A 17,899-nucleotide genomic window follows, 5' to 3' on the forward strand; every position below is an offset into this window, starting at 1 on the left:
ACACGGCTAGGCGCTCCAGCCCCCTTCCCACACCACATACCCGATCTTCACAGCCAAATAATAACAATAATAATAATGGTAGCAAGCAACGCTCTGCAGTAGGGGCTTCTCTCGCCATTTCGTACTGAGGAGGAAACATACTTAAGAGGTTACAAAACTTGCACCAAACAGATAACCCTCGGCTAGTCAGTGACAGAAGAGACTTGGCCGGGTGCGGTGGCTCAACGCCTGTAATTCCAGCACTTTGGGAGGCCGAGGCGGGCGGATCATCAGGTCAGTCAGGAGTTCGAGACCAGCCTGGCCAACATAGTGAAACCCTGTCTCTACTAAAAATACAAAAAATGAGCTGGGCGTGGTGGCGGGCGCCTGTAGTCTCAGCTACTTGGGAGGCTGAGGCAGGAGAATCGCTTGAACCCGGGAGGCGGAGGTTGCAGTGAGCCAAGATCTCGCCATTGCATTCCAGCCCGGACGACAGTGGGAGACTCCGTCTCAAACAAACAAACAAACAAACAAGCAAACAAAACCCACCAGACTCAGGCCCAGACAGTCTGGGTCTCCAGAGCCCCAGCCCTAACCCACCACGCTATTCTCCCTGGTCCCAACTTTGATGCTTTAAATGTGTCCCTTTATTGCTATCACTATGTAAGATCAAAGGCTTTCTCTCCCTCCAGACTGCATGTTGTGTCAGGGCAAGACATCTTGATTGAATTTGGAGTCTAGTCCAGTGCCTGACCTAGGGTAGAGAGTCCGAATGAAGACTTGGTTCTGGGGTCAGTGTGTGATCCCCTCACCAAAGTTTGCCAGAATGGACTTGAAAGATAACCTTCATGGCCAGGCACGGTGGCTCACGCCTGTAATCCCAGCAATTTGGGAGGCAGAGGCAGGTGGGTCACCTGAAGTCAGGAGTTCGAGACCAGTCTGGCCAACATATTGAAACCCTGTCTTTGCTAAAAACACAAAAATTAGCAGGGCGTGGTGACGTGCTCCTGTAATTCCACTTACTTGGGAGGCTAAGGCAGGAGAATTCCCTGAACCCCGGAGGCAGAGGTTGCAGTGAGCCAAGGGGGAGGCTGAGGCTGCAGTGAGCCAAGATCACACCACTGCACCCCAGCCTGGGCAATGGAGCAAGACTCCGTCTCAAAAAAAAAAAAGGAAAGAAGGAAGCCTGGCTTCAGCTTCTGCTCCCACTAGACTTGGTGCCCTAAAGGAAACCTTTTAGTGATTACATTAAAAAACCACTTGATTTGTGTTCCAGTTTCTGAACGCAGGCAACAAATAAACCAGCTGATTTGTGTTCCAGGCAACAAATATATCTTAAGCATCAACTGTCCAGATGAACCTTGTATGAGGAGCCATAGGGAACTGGCATTACTCAGTGGAAAGACACTGGTCTTGGAGCCATTGACACTGGGTTCAAGTTGAGGCTCAGCAGCTGGCCAGCTTTATGGCTGTTGGCCCAGAGCTTAACCTCTCGGAGCCTTAGTCTCCTCATCTGTAAGCTGGAATAATTATACAGGAGTATAAGGAGAGAATTATAATTAAATGTCCCAGCATATAGTGGGCCATTATTAAATGGTAGCTCTTGTTATTAATTACATATTAATATTTATATATTGAGCGCTTATTCTTTATTTTTTCCACAAACATTTATCTGTTGCTTCCTGTGGCTGGGCATTCTATGCAAAATTGATGAGTTTAAGAACCAGTCCCCACACGCACAGCCTTTAGTCTTGTTCAATAGACCACACAAACACAGAAAGCAGCAGACAACAGCTCTTAAAGTTAAGTGCGGTTGAATTGGCCAATTTTGAATGACCTTTAAAAAAATTATTCATTTGAATGTGCTCATGTTATTGTTATCATAGATATTCTCACTATTTTTGTTTCTTTTCATGTGATTTTCCTTTTTATGATTTTTTTTTTAAGAGATGGAATCTCACTATGTTACCCAGGCTAGATCTTCCTGCCTCAGCCTCCTGAGTAGCTGGGACTACAGGCATGCTCCACTACACCTGGCTTCAGAAATTTTTTAAAAGACAAAAGAACAAAGAACATTAAAACAAATACCCGTGTTTTGCCAGCAAGAATTGAAAATGAGTAACATTTTATCATATTTATTTGAAGTCTTTTTTAATTAAAGAAATAAGCCCCCCCCAAAAAAAAAATAAAAATAAATAAGGGTGGGCACGGTGGCTCACGCCTGTAATCCCAGCACTTTGGAAGGCCAAGGCGGGTGGGTCACCTGAGGTCAGGAGTTTGAGGACAGCCTGGCCAACATGGGGAAACCCCGTCTCTACTAAAAATACAAAAAAATTAGCTAGGCATGGTGACAGGCGCTGGTAATCCTAGCTACTTGGGAGGCTGAGGCATGAGAATCGCTTGAACCCGGGAGGCGGAGGTTGCAGTGAGCTGAGATCCCGCCACTGCACTCCAACCTGGGGGATAGACCAAGACGGTCTCCAAAAAAAAAAAGAAATAAAACATTTCACATAGAGTTGGTGTTCCTTTTCTCCCCTGTACCCCACCCCGTTTCTAATCCCATTCCTTTCCTCCCTTGTCCAGAATTTTATATGAATTCTTGCAAGCACTTCTCTATACATGTATGCCCTGAAACAGTGTATAGTATTGCTTTGCATATTTTTAATTTATATATGGTATCCTGTGCTTATTTTGAAACTTGCTTTTTTCACTCCATATACGTTTCTGAGAATTATCCCTATGGATAGATGTAGTTCTAGTGCATTCTTCTCAAAGGTAGAAAAGCAAGTCATTGTTTTATGTAACCAGCCCCTATGGATGGACATTTACGTTGTTAACAGTTTTTGGCTTTTATAAAAAAAAACGCAGAAACAAATCTCTTTGTCCATGTTTTCTTGTGCACCTGTACAAGAGTTTTTATAGAGGATCTACCTAGAAGTGAAATTTACATAGTCTTTGCCAATGCTTTAAAAATTGTTACACATTTAAAGATTACTGTTCTCTCTCTCTCTCTTTTTTTTTTTTTTTTTTGGTGAGACGGGGTCTCACTTTGTTGCCAGGCTGGAGTACAGTGGTGTGAACACAGCTCACTGCAGCCTTGACTTCCCAAGCTCGAGTGATCAACCTGCCTCAGCCCCACAAGTAGCTGGGAATACAGGCACGCACCACTACATCTGGCTAATTTTTGTAGAGATGGGGTTTTGTCATGTTGCTCAGGCTGGTCTCAAACACCTGGGCTCGAGCAATCTACCTGCCTCAGCCTCCCAAAGAGCTGGGATTACAGGCCTGAGCCACCATACCCAGCCACTAAAGAATACTGGTGTTCTATACTAAAAGTGGATGGTCATTAACCAAGCTGAAGTTGGGGGTATTTTTTGGCATATATCTTGATCTCTACAGACCTGATCTCTTTTATTTTACAGAAATTAATGATCCTAAGGAAATATGTGTGGGTTCTTCTGACACATCCTACCACAGCCAGCAGAAACAGAGTGGTGATAATGGGTCAGGTGGTCACTTCGCACACCCAAGAGAAGACAGGGAAGATCGGGGCCCCAGGTATGTGGGCATACTCCTAATTAGTGCACATTTATGGAGTAAGGTAGATGGCGTAATCACCCCCTTGTACGGATAATGAAATAGAGGCTGGTAGAGATTGAATTGCCTGCCCAATGTCTGAGAATGGAGTGAGGATGGCACTGCCTCTGCCGCACAGCTGAGCGCACATTCTATTAAACTTTAATGCCAGACTGCAGAGAGGAACAGCAGTAGTTCCTCATGACACCATTTAAAGTATTTTTATTAGAACATACAATGCAATTTTTAGGCCGGGCGCAGTGGCTCATGCCTGTAATCCCAGCACTTTGGGAGGCTGAGGTGGGCGAATCACAAGGTCAGGAGTTCGAGACCAGCCTGCACAATATGGTGAAACCCCATCTCTACTAAAAATACAAAAAATTAGCTGGGCGTAGTGGCGGGCACCTGTAATCCCAGCTACTTGGGAGGCTGAGGCAGGAGGATCGCTTGAACCCGGGAGGCGAAGGTTGCAGTGAGCCGAGATCATACCACTGCACTCCAGCCCGGGCGGCAGAGTGAGACTCCATCTCAAAAAAAAAAAAAAAAAAACATACATTGCAATTTTTAAGAATGCTGAAAATAAGCCAAGCGTGGTGGCCCTTGCCTGTAATCCCAGTACTTTGGGAGGCCAAGGTGGGTGGATCACCTGACGTCAGGAGTTCAAGACCAGCCTGACCAACATGGTGAAACCCCCCCTCTACTAAAAATACAAAAATTAGCCAGGTGTGGTGGCGCATGCCTGTAATCCCAGCTACTCGGGAGGCTGAGGCAGGAGAATCGCTTGAACCTGGGAGGCAGAGTTTGCAGTGAGCTGAGATTGTGCCATTGCACTCCAGCCTGGGCAATAGAGTGAGACTCTGTCTCAAAAAAAAAAATGCTGAAAATAATATTCGATGAGGCCCTAAAATCTGTACAAAAAAGAAGAAGAAAAAGGAAAGGAGAAAGAGAAAAAGACGAACTTAAAATAGGTATCAGGGATATAGGATGTTATAGAATTTTGGGCAGGAATGGATGTGGTAAAGAACTGTGAGAATATGTTTTACAGCTGACAATTTGCAATAAGCTTATTCATATTTTTCCATTTTAACAGAATGACTAAAAGTTCCCTGCAAAAACTCTGCAAGCAGCACAAGCTTTATATTACCCCAGCATTGAATGATACGCTGTATTTACACTTTAAAGGTAAGGACCTAAGAGAGGAAGTGCTTCACGTCAGGTGGAAAGATTCTGTCTAGCGGTATAAAAAATTACTTGCAGGGATCACCTTTAGTTCTCAGAATGTATCTAAGCAGGAAATTTCAAAGTTTAGTGGAGATTTATGGAAAAGGAATAACATTTATTTCAAGAAAAAGTCTTGCCTGACCAGTTTACAAAGGAGCCACTGGCTATAGGAATACCAAGGAAACACATTATCTTTCATTTTTGTTTCCTAAGGAATTTTTTTTTCTTTTCTTTCTTTTTTTTTTTTTTTTTGAGATGGTGTCTTGCTCTGTTGCCCAAGCTGAAGTGCAGTGGTGCAATCTCTGCTCACTGCAACCTCTGTCTCCAGGTTCAAGCAATTCTCCTACCTCAGCCTCCTGAGTAGCTGGGTTACAGGTGCCCACCACCACGCCTTGCTAATTTTTGTATTTTTAGTAAAGGCGGGGTTTCGCCATGTTGGCCATTCTGGTCTCAAACTCCTGAACCCAGTCGATCCAGCTGCCTCAGCCTCCCAAAGTACTGGGCTTACAAGTGTGAGCCACTGCACCCAGCCAGGACTTTAATTTTTCATACCAGAAAGTTAGTTTGTAAGTACTTTGGGGTTGGGAGGTATATGTTGGGAAGGATTGCAGCTTGATGTTGGAAACAAATGATGAGGATCTTTGGATGCCTCTTAGAATGGAGAGGCGTGAGCAGGAGCCAGGGTTGGAGGCCAGTATCACATATCAATGGAAGCTCAGGTTCACAGACAGGGCTTTTCCCAGCCTGAGGGCTTCCAGTCTGTGCTGATGGGGTGACCAGCTTGCTCATCAGTCCTCTCATTGTTCATTTGTCTCTTCAGTAGCTGCTTGCTGAGAGTCTACTGTGTGCCCAGCACTGCTCAGTGCTGAAAATGCACAGAGGGAACCGGCAAAGGTGCCTTTGGTGTCCTGGGGGATGGGAGCAGCTATTATGAGGACGGTGCCACGCCAGGGAGACGCCCAAAGGGATCCAGGAGCACAAATGCCTTAAGGGGTTGGAACGACTCCTATGGGTCTCCTCACCTCCACTTTTGCCCACTCCAAAATTCTCTACCCAGCATCTAAGCATAGCAGTGAGTAAGATGATGTAGGAGGACAGACTGCCGGGGGACTGATACTTAAGAGGTGGGAAGAAGAAAGGAACCAGTAAGTTTGACTGAGTAGAGACAGTCAGAGAGGTAGAAGAGCTGGGAGAGAGAGGTGCCCATATTAGTTATCTATTGCTACATAATTAACTGCCCTGAAACTTAGCAACTTCAACTCATGATCTCACCCAGTTTCTGAGGGCCGGGAACTCGGGAGTCATCAGCTGGGCGGTTCTGGCTCAGGGTCTCTCATGAGGCAGTAGCCAGACTGTCAGCGCAGTCTCACTCATTCGATGGCTTGACGAGGGCTAGAGAATCCACTTCCAGGCTCTAGGCCTCAGACCCTCATAGCTGTCAGCCAGAGGCCTTAATTTCTCACCACATGAGCCTCCCCATGGCAGCTGGCTTCCCTCAGAGCAAGTTACCCAAGAAAGGAAGCAAGGCCAAGACAAAAGTGGAGGTGACACTTCATCACTCCATTGTATGCTGTTGGTGTCTGGATCCACTCCTGTCTTACTGCATCGCTAACATGAAGGCATTGACTAGGAGGGTGATCCAGAGAGCCTGAGGAGGAAGCTGGGAAAGGGGCGCAGGGCCTGTGGGCCAGATGCCTTGGAATGGTCAAGGGCTAAGAGGACTGACCGTAGCGTGTAGCAGTTAGGATCTTAGGGAGACTTTAGCCAGGTGGTTGCAGTGATGGTGGGATCCAGGGGAGAGCAACAAGTTGGAGATGGCTTGAACAGCAAAGGGGGAGGAGATGGGGTAAGAGCTAGAGCAAAGACCAGGGAGAAAAACCAGAATGTCAGAAACCCAAGGGGACAAATAATCCAGTTTCTTCAACAAAAAATTACAATGTAAGAAAGAGAGAGAGACATACACACACTCTTAGGTTAAAAGTGACTTAAGGCCAGGCGTGGTGGCTCACGCCTGTGATCCCAGCAATGTGGGAGGCCAAGGCAGGCAGATCAGGAGTTTGAGACCAGTCTGGCCAACATGGTGAAACCCCATCTCTACTAAAAATAACACACACAAAAATTGGCCAGGTGTGATGGTGCATGCCTGTAATCCTAGTTACTTGTGAGGCTGAGGCAGGAGAATCGCTTGAACCCAGGAGGCTGTTTGCAGTGAGCCAAGATTGTGCTACCGCGCTCCAGCCTAGGCGACAGAGCAAGATTCTGTCTCAAAAAAAAAAAAAAAAAAAAAGTTGGCTGGGCGCGGTGGCTCACACCTGTAATCCCAGCACTTTGGGAGGCCAAGGCAGGTGGATCACCTGAGGTAAGGAGTTCGAGACCAACCTGGCCAACATGGTAAAACCCCATCTCTACTAAAAATACAAAAATTAGCCAGGTGTGGTGATGGCGGGTACCTGTAATCTCAGCTACTCAGGAGGCTGAGACAGGAGAATCACTTGAACTCAGGAGGTGTAGGTTACAGTGAGCCGAGATTGTGCAATTGCACTCCAGCCTGGGCAACAGAGCCAGACTCCATCTGAAAAAAAAAAAAAAGTGACTTAAGAGACATCCACTAATTACAAGGTTTGGACCTTATTTGTATGTTGATTCAGACAGTAAACAGTTTGGAAACAAAGACAACAAAGAAATGTGACCAGTTACTGGCTGTTTGATGATGACGTTGAGGAACTGTTGTTTAGACGTCACAGTGGTGTTGTGGCTATCTTAAAGAAAAAAAAAATCCTATCTTTTATAGATACTGACTTCAGCATGAAGACCTTGGAGCAATATGGCAAATACTTCCACTATAAAAATTTTTGTGGAGAGGGTTTGCAAGGAGGGAGAGCATCAGGAGGAACAGCTAATGATGCTAGGCTTAATACCTAGGTGATGGGATGACCTATGCAGCAAACCACATGGCACACATTTACCTATGCCACAAACCAGCACATCCAGCACAGGAACCCATCAACTTAAAATAAAACTTGAAGAAATAAAATAACCAAAATTTTTGTGGAAAAAATATAGGATTTTAAAAAGTCTATCTATACAATGCCTGTGTTTAAGTGTATTCTATAACTATGTTAAATATTACTTGTGCTTATAGCAAGCTTGGAAGGCGAGAGAGAAAAATGAAAACGGATTATCTGTTGGCAGGAACATGGGTGCATTTCTTTTTATTTTGCTCACCATTGATATTAGAATTTTTTAATAAAAACTTTTTCAGGCAACAAAATAAAGAACTTTAAAAAGTGTTGGTAATAGTAGGTCAAGGCATGAATTACACATTGATGACGAGTTACTAAAGGAAACTAAAAGATTTGTTTTCCTAACCGTAAATTTGGCTCATAAAACTGAAAAAGAGAACAAAACAAGGCCCACAGTTTGCACTAGGGTCAGGCCTGGTGGGAACATTTTCAAGGCAGGGTTACCCCCACTGCACCCCCACCTCCACCCACTCCCCACCATGAAGGCAGCAGTAGGCTCCACCCTCCCAGGTGGGTAATTCCAGCAGAAAGACTACCAGTCTTTTCAGCAAGACCCCCTAGGATTCATCAAAGTTCGCCTTGCTTGGCTAAGTGTGGCCACCCCCGAATGAGTCACCGTGACTCTGATAGGCTGCCAGAGAGCCGTTGGGTGATATTAGGAAAAGGATGGTTCCTCCAAGAAAAGTTGCTACTGGAGGAAGGAGGTGTGGATGCCAGGTAGGCAGGTGTCTTAGTCCGTTTTGAGCTGCTGTAACAAGAAACCGTAGCCTGGGTGGCTTGTAGACAACAAAAATGTATTTCTCACAGTTCTGGAGGCTAGGAAGTCCAAGGTCAAGCTACTGGCAGATTTGGTGACTGGTGAGAGCTTGCTTTTTTATTCGCAGATGGCACTTTCTTGCTGTATCCTCATGGGGTGAAGATGGCAAAGAAGCTCTCTGGGGCCTCATTTATGAGACCACTAATCCCATTCCTGAGGGTTCTTCTCTCATGACCTTATCACCTCCCAAAAGTCCCACCTCCTAATACCATCACATTAGGGGTTAGGATTTCAATGTATGAATTTTGAAGGGACACAGACATTCAGTTCCTAATAGTAGGCAAAAACAAGGGTGACCGTGACCCCTCTGCCCTGGGAGTAGGAGCTTAATTCCCACGTGCTTCCTTTTTGTTAGGTTTTGATCGCATTGAGAACCTGGAAGAGTACACAGGGCTGCGCTGTCTCTGGCTGCAGAGCAATGGAATACAGAAAATCGAAAACCTGGAGGCCCAAACTGAGTTGCGTTGCCTCTTCTTGCAAATGAACTTGCTCCGTAAAATTGAGAACCTGGAACCTCTGCAGAAACTGGATGCTCTTAACCTCAGCAACAATTACATCAAGACCATTGAAAACCTCTGTAAGGGTACCCAGCAAGCAGTGTGTCTGTTTGCCATATGTCCATCACCTTCCCCTGAGGGATGTTCTAAGCTTTTATATTATGGGCAAGAAGTGGTGTTTTTTTTTGTCTTTTTTTTGTTTTTTTTTGAGACAGAGTCTTGCTCTGTCGCCCAGGCTGGAGTGCAGTGGCGCGATCTCAGCTCACTGCAAGCTCTGCCTCCCGGGTTCATGCCATTCTCCTGCCTTAGCCTCCAAAATAGCTGGGACTACAGGCACCCACCACCACACCTGGCTAATTTTTTGTATTTTTAGTAGAGACGGGGTTTCACCGTGTTAGCCAGGATGGTCTCGATCTCCTGACCTCGTGATCCGCCCGCCTTGGCCTCCCAAAGTGCTGGGATTACAGGCGTGAGCCACCATGCCCAGCCAAGAAGTGTTTTTGGTTTTGTTTTGCTTTGCTTCTTTTTGAGATGGGGTCTTGCTCTGTCACCCAGGCTGAAATGCAGTGGTGCAGTTAGAGCTCACTGCAGCCTTGACCTCCTGGTCTCAAGCGATCCTCCCACGTCAGCCTCCCAGGTGGCTGAGACCACAGGCATGTGCCACCAGACCTGGCAAGTTTTTCTACTTTTTGTGGATATGGGGTCTCACTGTGTTGCCCAGGCTGGTCTCAAACCTCCTGGGCTCGAAAGATTCTCCCGCTTTAGCCTTCCAAAGTGCTGGGATTACAGGTATGAACCACTGTGCCTGGCCCAAGAAGCATTTTTATGCCTTTGTTTTTGACTTCTGCTGACCTTACCTTCCAGCCTGCCTCCCAGTCCTGAACACATTGCAGATGGCCCACAATCACCTGGAGACCGTGGAGGACATTCAGCATCTACAAGAGTGTTTGAGGCTTTGTGTCCTTGACCTTTCGCACAACAAGCTGAGTGACCCGGAGATCCTGAGCATTCTGGAAAGCATGCCCGATTTGGTAAAAAACAAAAACAAAAACAACGAAAAAGCACCACAGGAAACCGCTTCTATTATTTTCATCAAATATCAAGTCCTTTTGTCTTTTCTCTCCTTCCTGCCTTCCTTCCCTTTTTCACACTTTTTTCCTCTTTGTGTTTTTAGCTGGAGTATCTGAAATGCCAGTTATCGTATTATTTTACCCACAAATAGTTCAGTGTGTGCCTCTAACAGATAAGGACTTTTTTTTTTTGATATAGAGTTTCGCTCTTCTTGATCAGGCTAGAGTGCTGTGGCATGAACTCCGCCCACTGCAACCTCTGCCTCTGGGTTCAAGGAATTCTCCTGCCTCAGCATCCCGAGTAGCTGGGATTTCAGGTGCCTGCCATCACACCCAGCTAATTTTTGTATTCTTAGTAGATTCAGGGTTTCATCATGTTGTCCAGGCTGGTCTTGAACTCCTGACCTTGAGTGATCCACCCGCCTCAACCTCCCAAAGTGCTGGGATTACAGGCAAGAGCCATTGTGCCCAACCACCACTCAATTAATTTTTCAAGGAAACCAGGTCCTCTGTCTGGTGTTACCCACATTCTGGATTTAGCTGATTGCATCCTTGTGGTGCCACTTAACATGTTCTGCTGGCCCTGGTATTTCCTGTAAAATGATATCGGAGCCAGAGGCTGGATGGTATCCAGGCTCCATATTTCACCTTGAGGTGTGTCAGGTCCTTCCACTGCCAGCTCCTCACATCCGGGAGCGTGTGATGCCTGCTTGCTTCTCCTTTTGTTGTTTTAAGATTCACTAGTGGGTTCAGATATTGTCAGCCTGGTCTAGCCATTATGAAGTTCCCCGTCAGTCCTTCTCCCAGTTATTTTAGCAGTCACTGATGAACATTGCCTAGATTAATTATTTAATGATGAGTCACACAATGACAACTTTCCAGTTTTCTCACTCTCTCAGCATCTGTTAGCTAGAATGCTTCTACACTTCTACAAAGAGCTTTCATTCGCCAACTAGTGGTTCATGCAGTTCATGCAGAAAAGGCCAGGATCAATGTTTGACCCTTTTATTTATCATTTTTCTTTTCTTTTCTTTTCTTTCCTTTCCTTTTCTTTCTTTCTTTCTTTTTTTTTTTTTTTTTTTGAGACAGGGTCTTGCTCTGTCACCCAGGCTGGAGTGCAGTGGTATAATCATGGCTCACTGCAGCCTCAACCTCCTGGGCTCAAGCGATCCTCCCACCTTAGCCTCACAAGTAGCTGGGAGCACAGGTGTGCACCACCACGTCCAGCTAATTTTTATATTTTTTGTAGAGATGGGTTTTGCCATATTGCTCAGGCTGGTTATTTATCAATTTTCAGTAAAATGAATTGAAACCTGGCAACCTCTCATGGTGACAGTGAAACCTTTCTTTTTTTCAGTATCATTATGAACGCATACATTTATATATACAGTATTTGACATGATTTAACTCTCGCTATCACTTTAATTTTTCATGTTCAAATTTTCCCATCCAGGTGAGGTATGGTGGCCCACACCTGTAATCCCAGCACTTTGGGAGGCCCAGGTGGGCAGGTCACTTGAGGCCAGGAGTTTGAGACCAGCCTGGTCAACATGGCAAAACCCCATCTCTACTAACAATACAAAAATTAGCTGGGCATGGTGGTGCACGTCTGTGATCTCAGCTACTTGGGAGGCTGAGGCATGAGAATTGCTTGAACCCAGGAGGCATTGCAGTGAGCCGAGATCTCACCACTGCACTCCAGACAGAATGAGACACTGTGTCAAAAAAAAAAAAAAAAAAAAATTCCCGTCCTTTGGGCTTGAGAACCCGTCAGGTTGCTTCCTATGTCCTTTTGAGTCCTCGCTAGTAGCCTTTGACAGCCTCCTTGCTTCTTAGTGTCTATGTGTTGTCGTGTGTACTAGGAAAAAAATACTAAAACTAGCACACAAAAACCTTGAGTTTATTGTATACCGCTTAGGCTATTGATAAACATGGAGAAAAGTGAGTCAACTGAAAGCAAATCATAGTTCAGGAACAATCTGTAGTGTGTACTATCAAAAGACTAGTTTAGAACTGCAGCACACGGTGAGAATAGAAAGCTCTATTATATTATAATCCCCCCGTTTGTTCGTTTTTGTTTTGGCTGGGGTTGCCATAAGTACCGGGTGGCTTAACCAATACAAATTTATTTTCTCGTGGCCAGGCACAGTGGCTCACGCCTGTAATCCCAGCGCTCTGGGAGGCCAAGGTGGGCAGATCACGAGGTCGGGAGATCGAGACCTTCCTGGCTAACATGGTGAAACCGTCTCTACTAAAAATACAAAAAATTAGCCGGGCGTGGTGGCATGCACCTGTAGTCCCAGCTACTCTGGTGGCTGAGGCAGGAGAATGGCGCGAACCTGGGAGGCAGAGCTTGCAGCGACCCGAGATCGCGCCACTACACTCCAGCCTGGGAGACAGGCAGAGTCTGGCTCTGTCTCCAAAAAAAAACAAAAACAAAAAAGAAACTTATTTTCTCATGATTCTGGAGACTGAAAGTCAAGAGCAAGGTGTGGGCAGGGCTGGGTTCTCCTGAGGCATCTCCTTGGCTGGTAGATGGCCGTCTTCTCCCTGGGTCCTCACATGGTCCCTCCCTCTGTGCCGTGTGTTCTCTGTGTCCTACTTTTTTCTTCTAAGGACACCAGTCAGATTGGATTACGGCCCACCCTAATGGGCTCATTTCAACTTCATCGTGGTTTTAAAAGTCTTATCTCCAAATACAGTCACATTCTGAGGTGCTGAGGGTTTGGACTTTAACATGTGAATTTTGATTAGGACACAATTCAGCCCAGAACGAAAGCAGGTTGCTTTATGTTAATAGTTGTTTCGTGACTGCTTTTAAATCCTCCCAACACCGTTTACCCCTTTATTGCTGCCTGGGTGTATTGCTCCCACCACCCCACCCTGTGCAGGGTAACCACATTTTGAAATGGTTCACCCTCATGTTGCCTTAAGCATTCAACTTCTTTTTTTATTTTCTGAGATGGAGTCTCGCTTAGTCACCCAGGCTGGAGTGCAGTGGCATAATCTCAGCTCACTACAGCCTCCCCCTCCTGGGTTCAAGTGATTTTTCTGCCTCAGGCCCCATGAATAGCTGGGATTACAGGTGCTCACCATGACGCCCAGCTAATTTTTGTATTTTTAGTAGAGATGGGGTTTCACCATGTTGGCCAGGCTGGTCTCGAACTCCTGACCTCAAGTGATCCACCCACCTCAGCCTCCCAAAGTGCTGAGATTACAGGAGTGAGCCACCATGCCCAGCCCCACTAAGCATTAAACTTCTTTGAGTTTCTTAAGGCAGTAGAGGAAGAGACAGTATTTAAAGATGGGGGAGGATGGCAGGTCGGATTGCCGAGCCCCTTCCTCCTCCCTGGTCCTAAGTGACAGCGGGGAGAGCTGTAAGCCGAGGAAGAAGGGCCGTCCATCCTGCGGCACTCAGCAGAGGTAAGCGGGCACTCCCCATCCTTTCCCTTAGTCACTGCTGCTTCTCTGTCTAGCGGCTGTGTGCGTTTTGGTAAAATGGATCCTGGCTGGGAAGAAAAGAAAACAATCAATTAGGCAGAGATTCATTTCAGTAAAAGAGGTTGGGTAGCAAAACTAATATAATCAACTGCACTCAGAAAAAGCCTCAGGAAATGTTTTCCAGTATTGTTCTGGAGGGACGATGAGATCTAAGATCTGAAGTTCATGTGGAAGAAAGGGCTGCTGAATGATCTAGACAGCTCTGATAGCGTGAGAGCAATGGAAACCTTCCGATTTCTCCCATCAAGTCACCAGGACAGGATATTGGCACTTCTATTTTGCTCAAAAAATAGATTTTGTTCATTTATTCTTAGTGCACAGCACATATAAAATAATTCAATCGCATCTTTCAGTAATCATTTTGGTTCTGCTTGTCTTCTTGCAGCGTGTACTGAATTTGATGGGAAACCCGGTTATCAGACAGATTCCTAATTACAGAAGGACAGTCACTGTACGACTAAAGCACTTAACATACCTGGATGATAGACCAGTGTTTCCAAAGGACAGGTAAGAAGAGAAAAGCCTTCTGATCACATTTTAATATTTAGTAGTTGACCATGCTTAATATTAAACTTTTTAAATTTCTGATTCTTGAGAAATTTCACATATCAAAAATGTTCTTTGGAAATAGGCTTGATGGCTACATAATTGACTATAATGGGAATTTGAGCACTTATTCATAGATTTTTTTATATTCCTTTGATAAATATCTTTGTATCAGTCGTTTACCTCTTTGCTGATGAGTTCCTTGGAATGGAATTTTTGGAGTAGTATCACTGCATTGAAGAAAGTGGTTTCAGACTTTGTAAAAACCCTTACAAATATTTTCTAGTTGTTTTCTAGAGAGTTTGTACCAATTTACAACCTCACATAACATAACCATGAAAGGAAATCTTTGCCAAGTTTGTTGATGGGTGAAGATCGTACCCCATTGTTTTAAATTGCCATTTTTGGATAATTGATGAAGTTGGGCATTTTCTTCATTGTTATTGGACACTTATAGTTCCTCCTTTATGAATATTCTGTCAGTGACTTTTTCCAAGTTTCTTTTTGAAGTGCTTCTCTTACCGATTTGTAAGGGCTTCTTTAATATCAGGAACATCGTACCCTGGACTGCCATGTTTATCATCACTGCTTTTATATGTGTTTTTAACTTACTTTTAAATTTAGATCAATTTAGTAATTCTAATTAGAATAAAATATCAGTCATATAGGCTACTTGACGAGATGTATAATCCGAATTTTGCATTATACAACATTTAAAATAAATGTAGCTTGTAATGTGTTTTTAAACTCACAAATTTAAATCAAACTAACAAATATTTCAAATAGAGCTTCCACTTTAGCCAGGTAAGAAAACCAGGGCCGGGCGTGGTGGCTCATGTCTGTAATCCCAGCACTTTGGGAGGCCAAGGCGGGCGGATCACGAGGTCAGGAGATCGAGACCACCCTGGCTAACACGGTGAAACCGCGTCGCTACTAAAAGTACACAAAAATTAGCCGGGCGTGGTGGTGGGCGCCTGTAGTCCCAGCTACTCGAGTGGAGGCTGAGGAGGAGAATGGCATAAACCCGGGAGGCAGAGCTTGCAGTGAGCTGAGATCGCGCCACTGCACTCCAGCCTGGGCAACAGAGCGAGACTCCGTCTCAAAAAAAAAAAAAAAAAGAAAACCAGAAGGCCTGCTCCTGGGAGGTTCAACAGAAATTGACGCAGCTCCCTGGGCCCCAGGTCTGGGGGTGGTAAGGACGGGGAGAGCAGCCAGTGTGCAGGGGTCTGACTCCCAAGCCAGCTCTGCAGCCACGAGCTACGTTACACCCTTGGGGGAGCTCCCTCACCTCCCTGGGCGCACGTTCCTCATCTGCAGCGTGGGGATGAGAATACTGTTGCCACAGGGTCCCTGTGAGCGCCTGTGAGCAACATGCAGGACTCCGAGCAGGTGCTGGGCTCCTAGGAGTGAACCAGTAGGAGCAGCTGCCACTGAAGATCCTGCTCCCGCCCCAGGGGCCATGCTGAGGAAAGTAACATGGATGTTAGCAATAGGAGCCACCGCCCTTTAGAGCATAGCCCAAGACTCCAGCTCAGGAGTCAGATTAACCTGGCTTGAGTCTCTTTTTAGAGACGGGGTTGCACTCTGTCACCCAGGCAGGAGTGCAGTGGTGCAATCACTGCAGCTTCAAACTCTGGGTTCACACAAGCCTCCCAAGTAACTGAGATTACAGGCGTGCACCACCAAACCCAGCTAATTTTTAAGTTTTTTGTAGAGATGGGGGTCTCACTATGTTGTCAAGGCCAGTCTCAAATTTCTGGCCTCAAGTGATCCTCCTGCGTTGGCCTCCCAAAGCTCTGAGGCTCCGAAAGCCTCACAGGCATGAGCCACCACACCCCTGGCATTGAATCTTAATCCAGCCACTGACTAATTGTTTGACACTGGGCACTTGCTGTCATCTAGGATGCAGCAGGTATCTGCTCATCTGTCGTTTTATTAGAGCACTCTCCATGACCTATCTAAATAGTACCTTCTCCACTTGATGTCTCTTCGGCCTGATTTGATTTCCTTTTAGGACACATGAGTCTCTGACATATACTCATTTCTTTGTTTAGGGTCTGTCTTCCCCGACTAAAAGGGCTCCTCTAACAGAGATCAGCTCTTACATTCACTGCTGGGTCCCCAGCCTCTAGAATGGTGACTGGCATGTAGCAGGCAACAGATAGGCCTTTGCTGGCTGTCTGCTCTGAGATCAAAGGGTCTGAGGATTTCTTACTGTGTGGTAAATGGACTGGAACATGGTTTATTCTCCTTGGCATATTCTGTCTCAGTGACTCGTGGTCTTTCTCTGCTATAGTATACTTTGCAACACCCTGTCTGACTATTTCCAAACACCTGTACCTTTGATTTTACAGCAGGGATCTGCTTCTTCTCTCTTAAGGTAAGCCTCCTGTTTTTAAACCACCAGACTTTGTTTTTCAAATAACAACTTTGTTGAGGCATAATTCACATACCATACAGTTTACGTATTTAAAGTGTACAATGTGGCTGGATGTGGTGGCTCACGGCTGTAATCCCAGCACTTTGGGAGGCTGAGGTGGGTGGATCACTTGAGGTCAGGAGACTCCCTCTCAAAAAAAAATAAATAAATAAAAATAAAAAACAAAGTGTACAATGCAATGGCTTTGAGTATATTCACAGAGTTGTGCAACCATCACCACAATCAATTTTAGAACATTCTCATCACCCTAAAAAGGAAATACTGGATGGGCATGGTGGCTCACACCTATAATCCCAGCACTTTGGGAGGCGGGGGCGGGCAGATCACCAGGTCAAGAGATTGAGACCATCCTGGCCAACACGGTGAAACCTCATCTCTACTAAAAATACAAAAATTAGCTGGGTGTGGTGGCGGGCGCCTGTAGTCCCAGCTACTTGGGAGGCTGAGGCAAGAGAATCGCTTGAACCCGGGAGGCGGAGGTTGTAGTGAGCCAAGATCACGCCACTGCACTCCAGCCTGGGTGACAGTGGGAGACTGTCTCAAAAAAACAAAAAAAAAAGAAATACCATCCCCATTAGCAGCCAACCCCCTATTTCTCGCTCCCTGAAGGCCCTGGCAGCCACTCCTCTGCTTTCCCTCTCTGTTGATTTGCTCGTTCTGGACATTTCATATAAATGGAGTCACTCACCATGTGGCCCTGTGTTTCTTTCACTCAGCATCCTGTTGTCAAGGTTCATCTGCGATGCAGCGTGTTCCATCCAGTACTTCATTCCTTTTTATTGCCAAATGATACTGCATTTTGATACACTACATTGTATTTGTCCATCAACTTTCAGAAATTAGGGTTGTTTTCACTTTTTGCCTGTTGTGAATAATGAAGTTTTTGTGTGGACAGCTGTTGTCTTCTCCTGGGTATGTATCTAGGAGTGAAATTTCTGGGTCATACAGGGACTTTACATTTAATTTTTGAGGAGACACCACATGGTTTTCCAAAGCAGCTGCACCATTTTACATCCCCATCAGCAGTGTAGGAAGGTTCCAATTTTCCCGTATCCTCACCAACACTTCGGGTTGCCTGTCTTTTTTTTCCTCTCTCTCTCTCTTTTTCTTTTTTTTTTTTTTTAAGATGGAGTCTTGCCCTGTCGCCCAGGCAGGAGTGCAGTGGTGAGATCTGAGCTCACTGCAACCTCTGTCTCCCAGGTTCAAGCAATTCTCCTGCCTCAGCCTCC

At 45.6% G+C, this 17,899-nt stretch overlaps 1 protein-coding gene across 13 annotated transcripts in view; it reads left to right on the plus strand.

Annotated features, from left to right (window-relative positions):
- DNAAF1 (dynein axonemal assembly factor 1) overlaps positions 1-17,899 on the plus strand; it is a 32,613-nt gene that overhangs the window by 298 nt on the left and 14,416 nt on the right. For 10 of the 13 annotated variants that reach the window (XM_011522854.4, XM_011522853.4, XM_011522855.4 and 7 more), the window contains exons 2-6: positions 3,402-3,537; positions 4,646-4,737; positions 8,972-9,193; positions 9,978-10,144; positions 14,070-14,191. In XM_011522854.4, coding sequence (XP_011521156.1) covers positions 3,402-3,537; positions 4,646-4,737; positions 8,972-9,193; positions 9,978-10,144; positions 14,070-14,191 — 739 coding nt within the window. Of the gene's footprint in view, positions 1-162; positions 274-3,401; positions 3,538-4,645; positions 4,738-8,971; positions 9,194-9,977; positions 10,145-13,434; positions 13,607-14,069; positions 14,192-17,899 lie in introns of those variants that run through there. The other 3 variants (XM_017022920.3, NM_001318756.1, XM_017022919.2) reach the window with 2 other exon arrangements.

This window comes from Homo sapiens, chromosome 16, assembly GCF_000001405.40.
Source record: "Homo sapiens chromosome 16, GRCh38.p14 Primary Assembly".
NCBI lineage: Eukaryota > Metazoa > Chordata > Mammalia > Primates > Hominidae > Homo > Homo sapiens.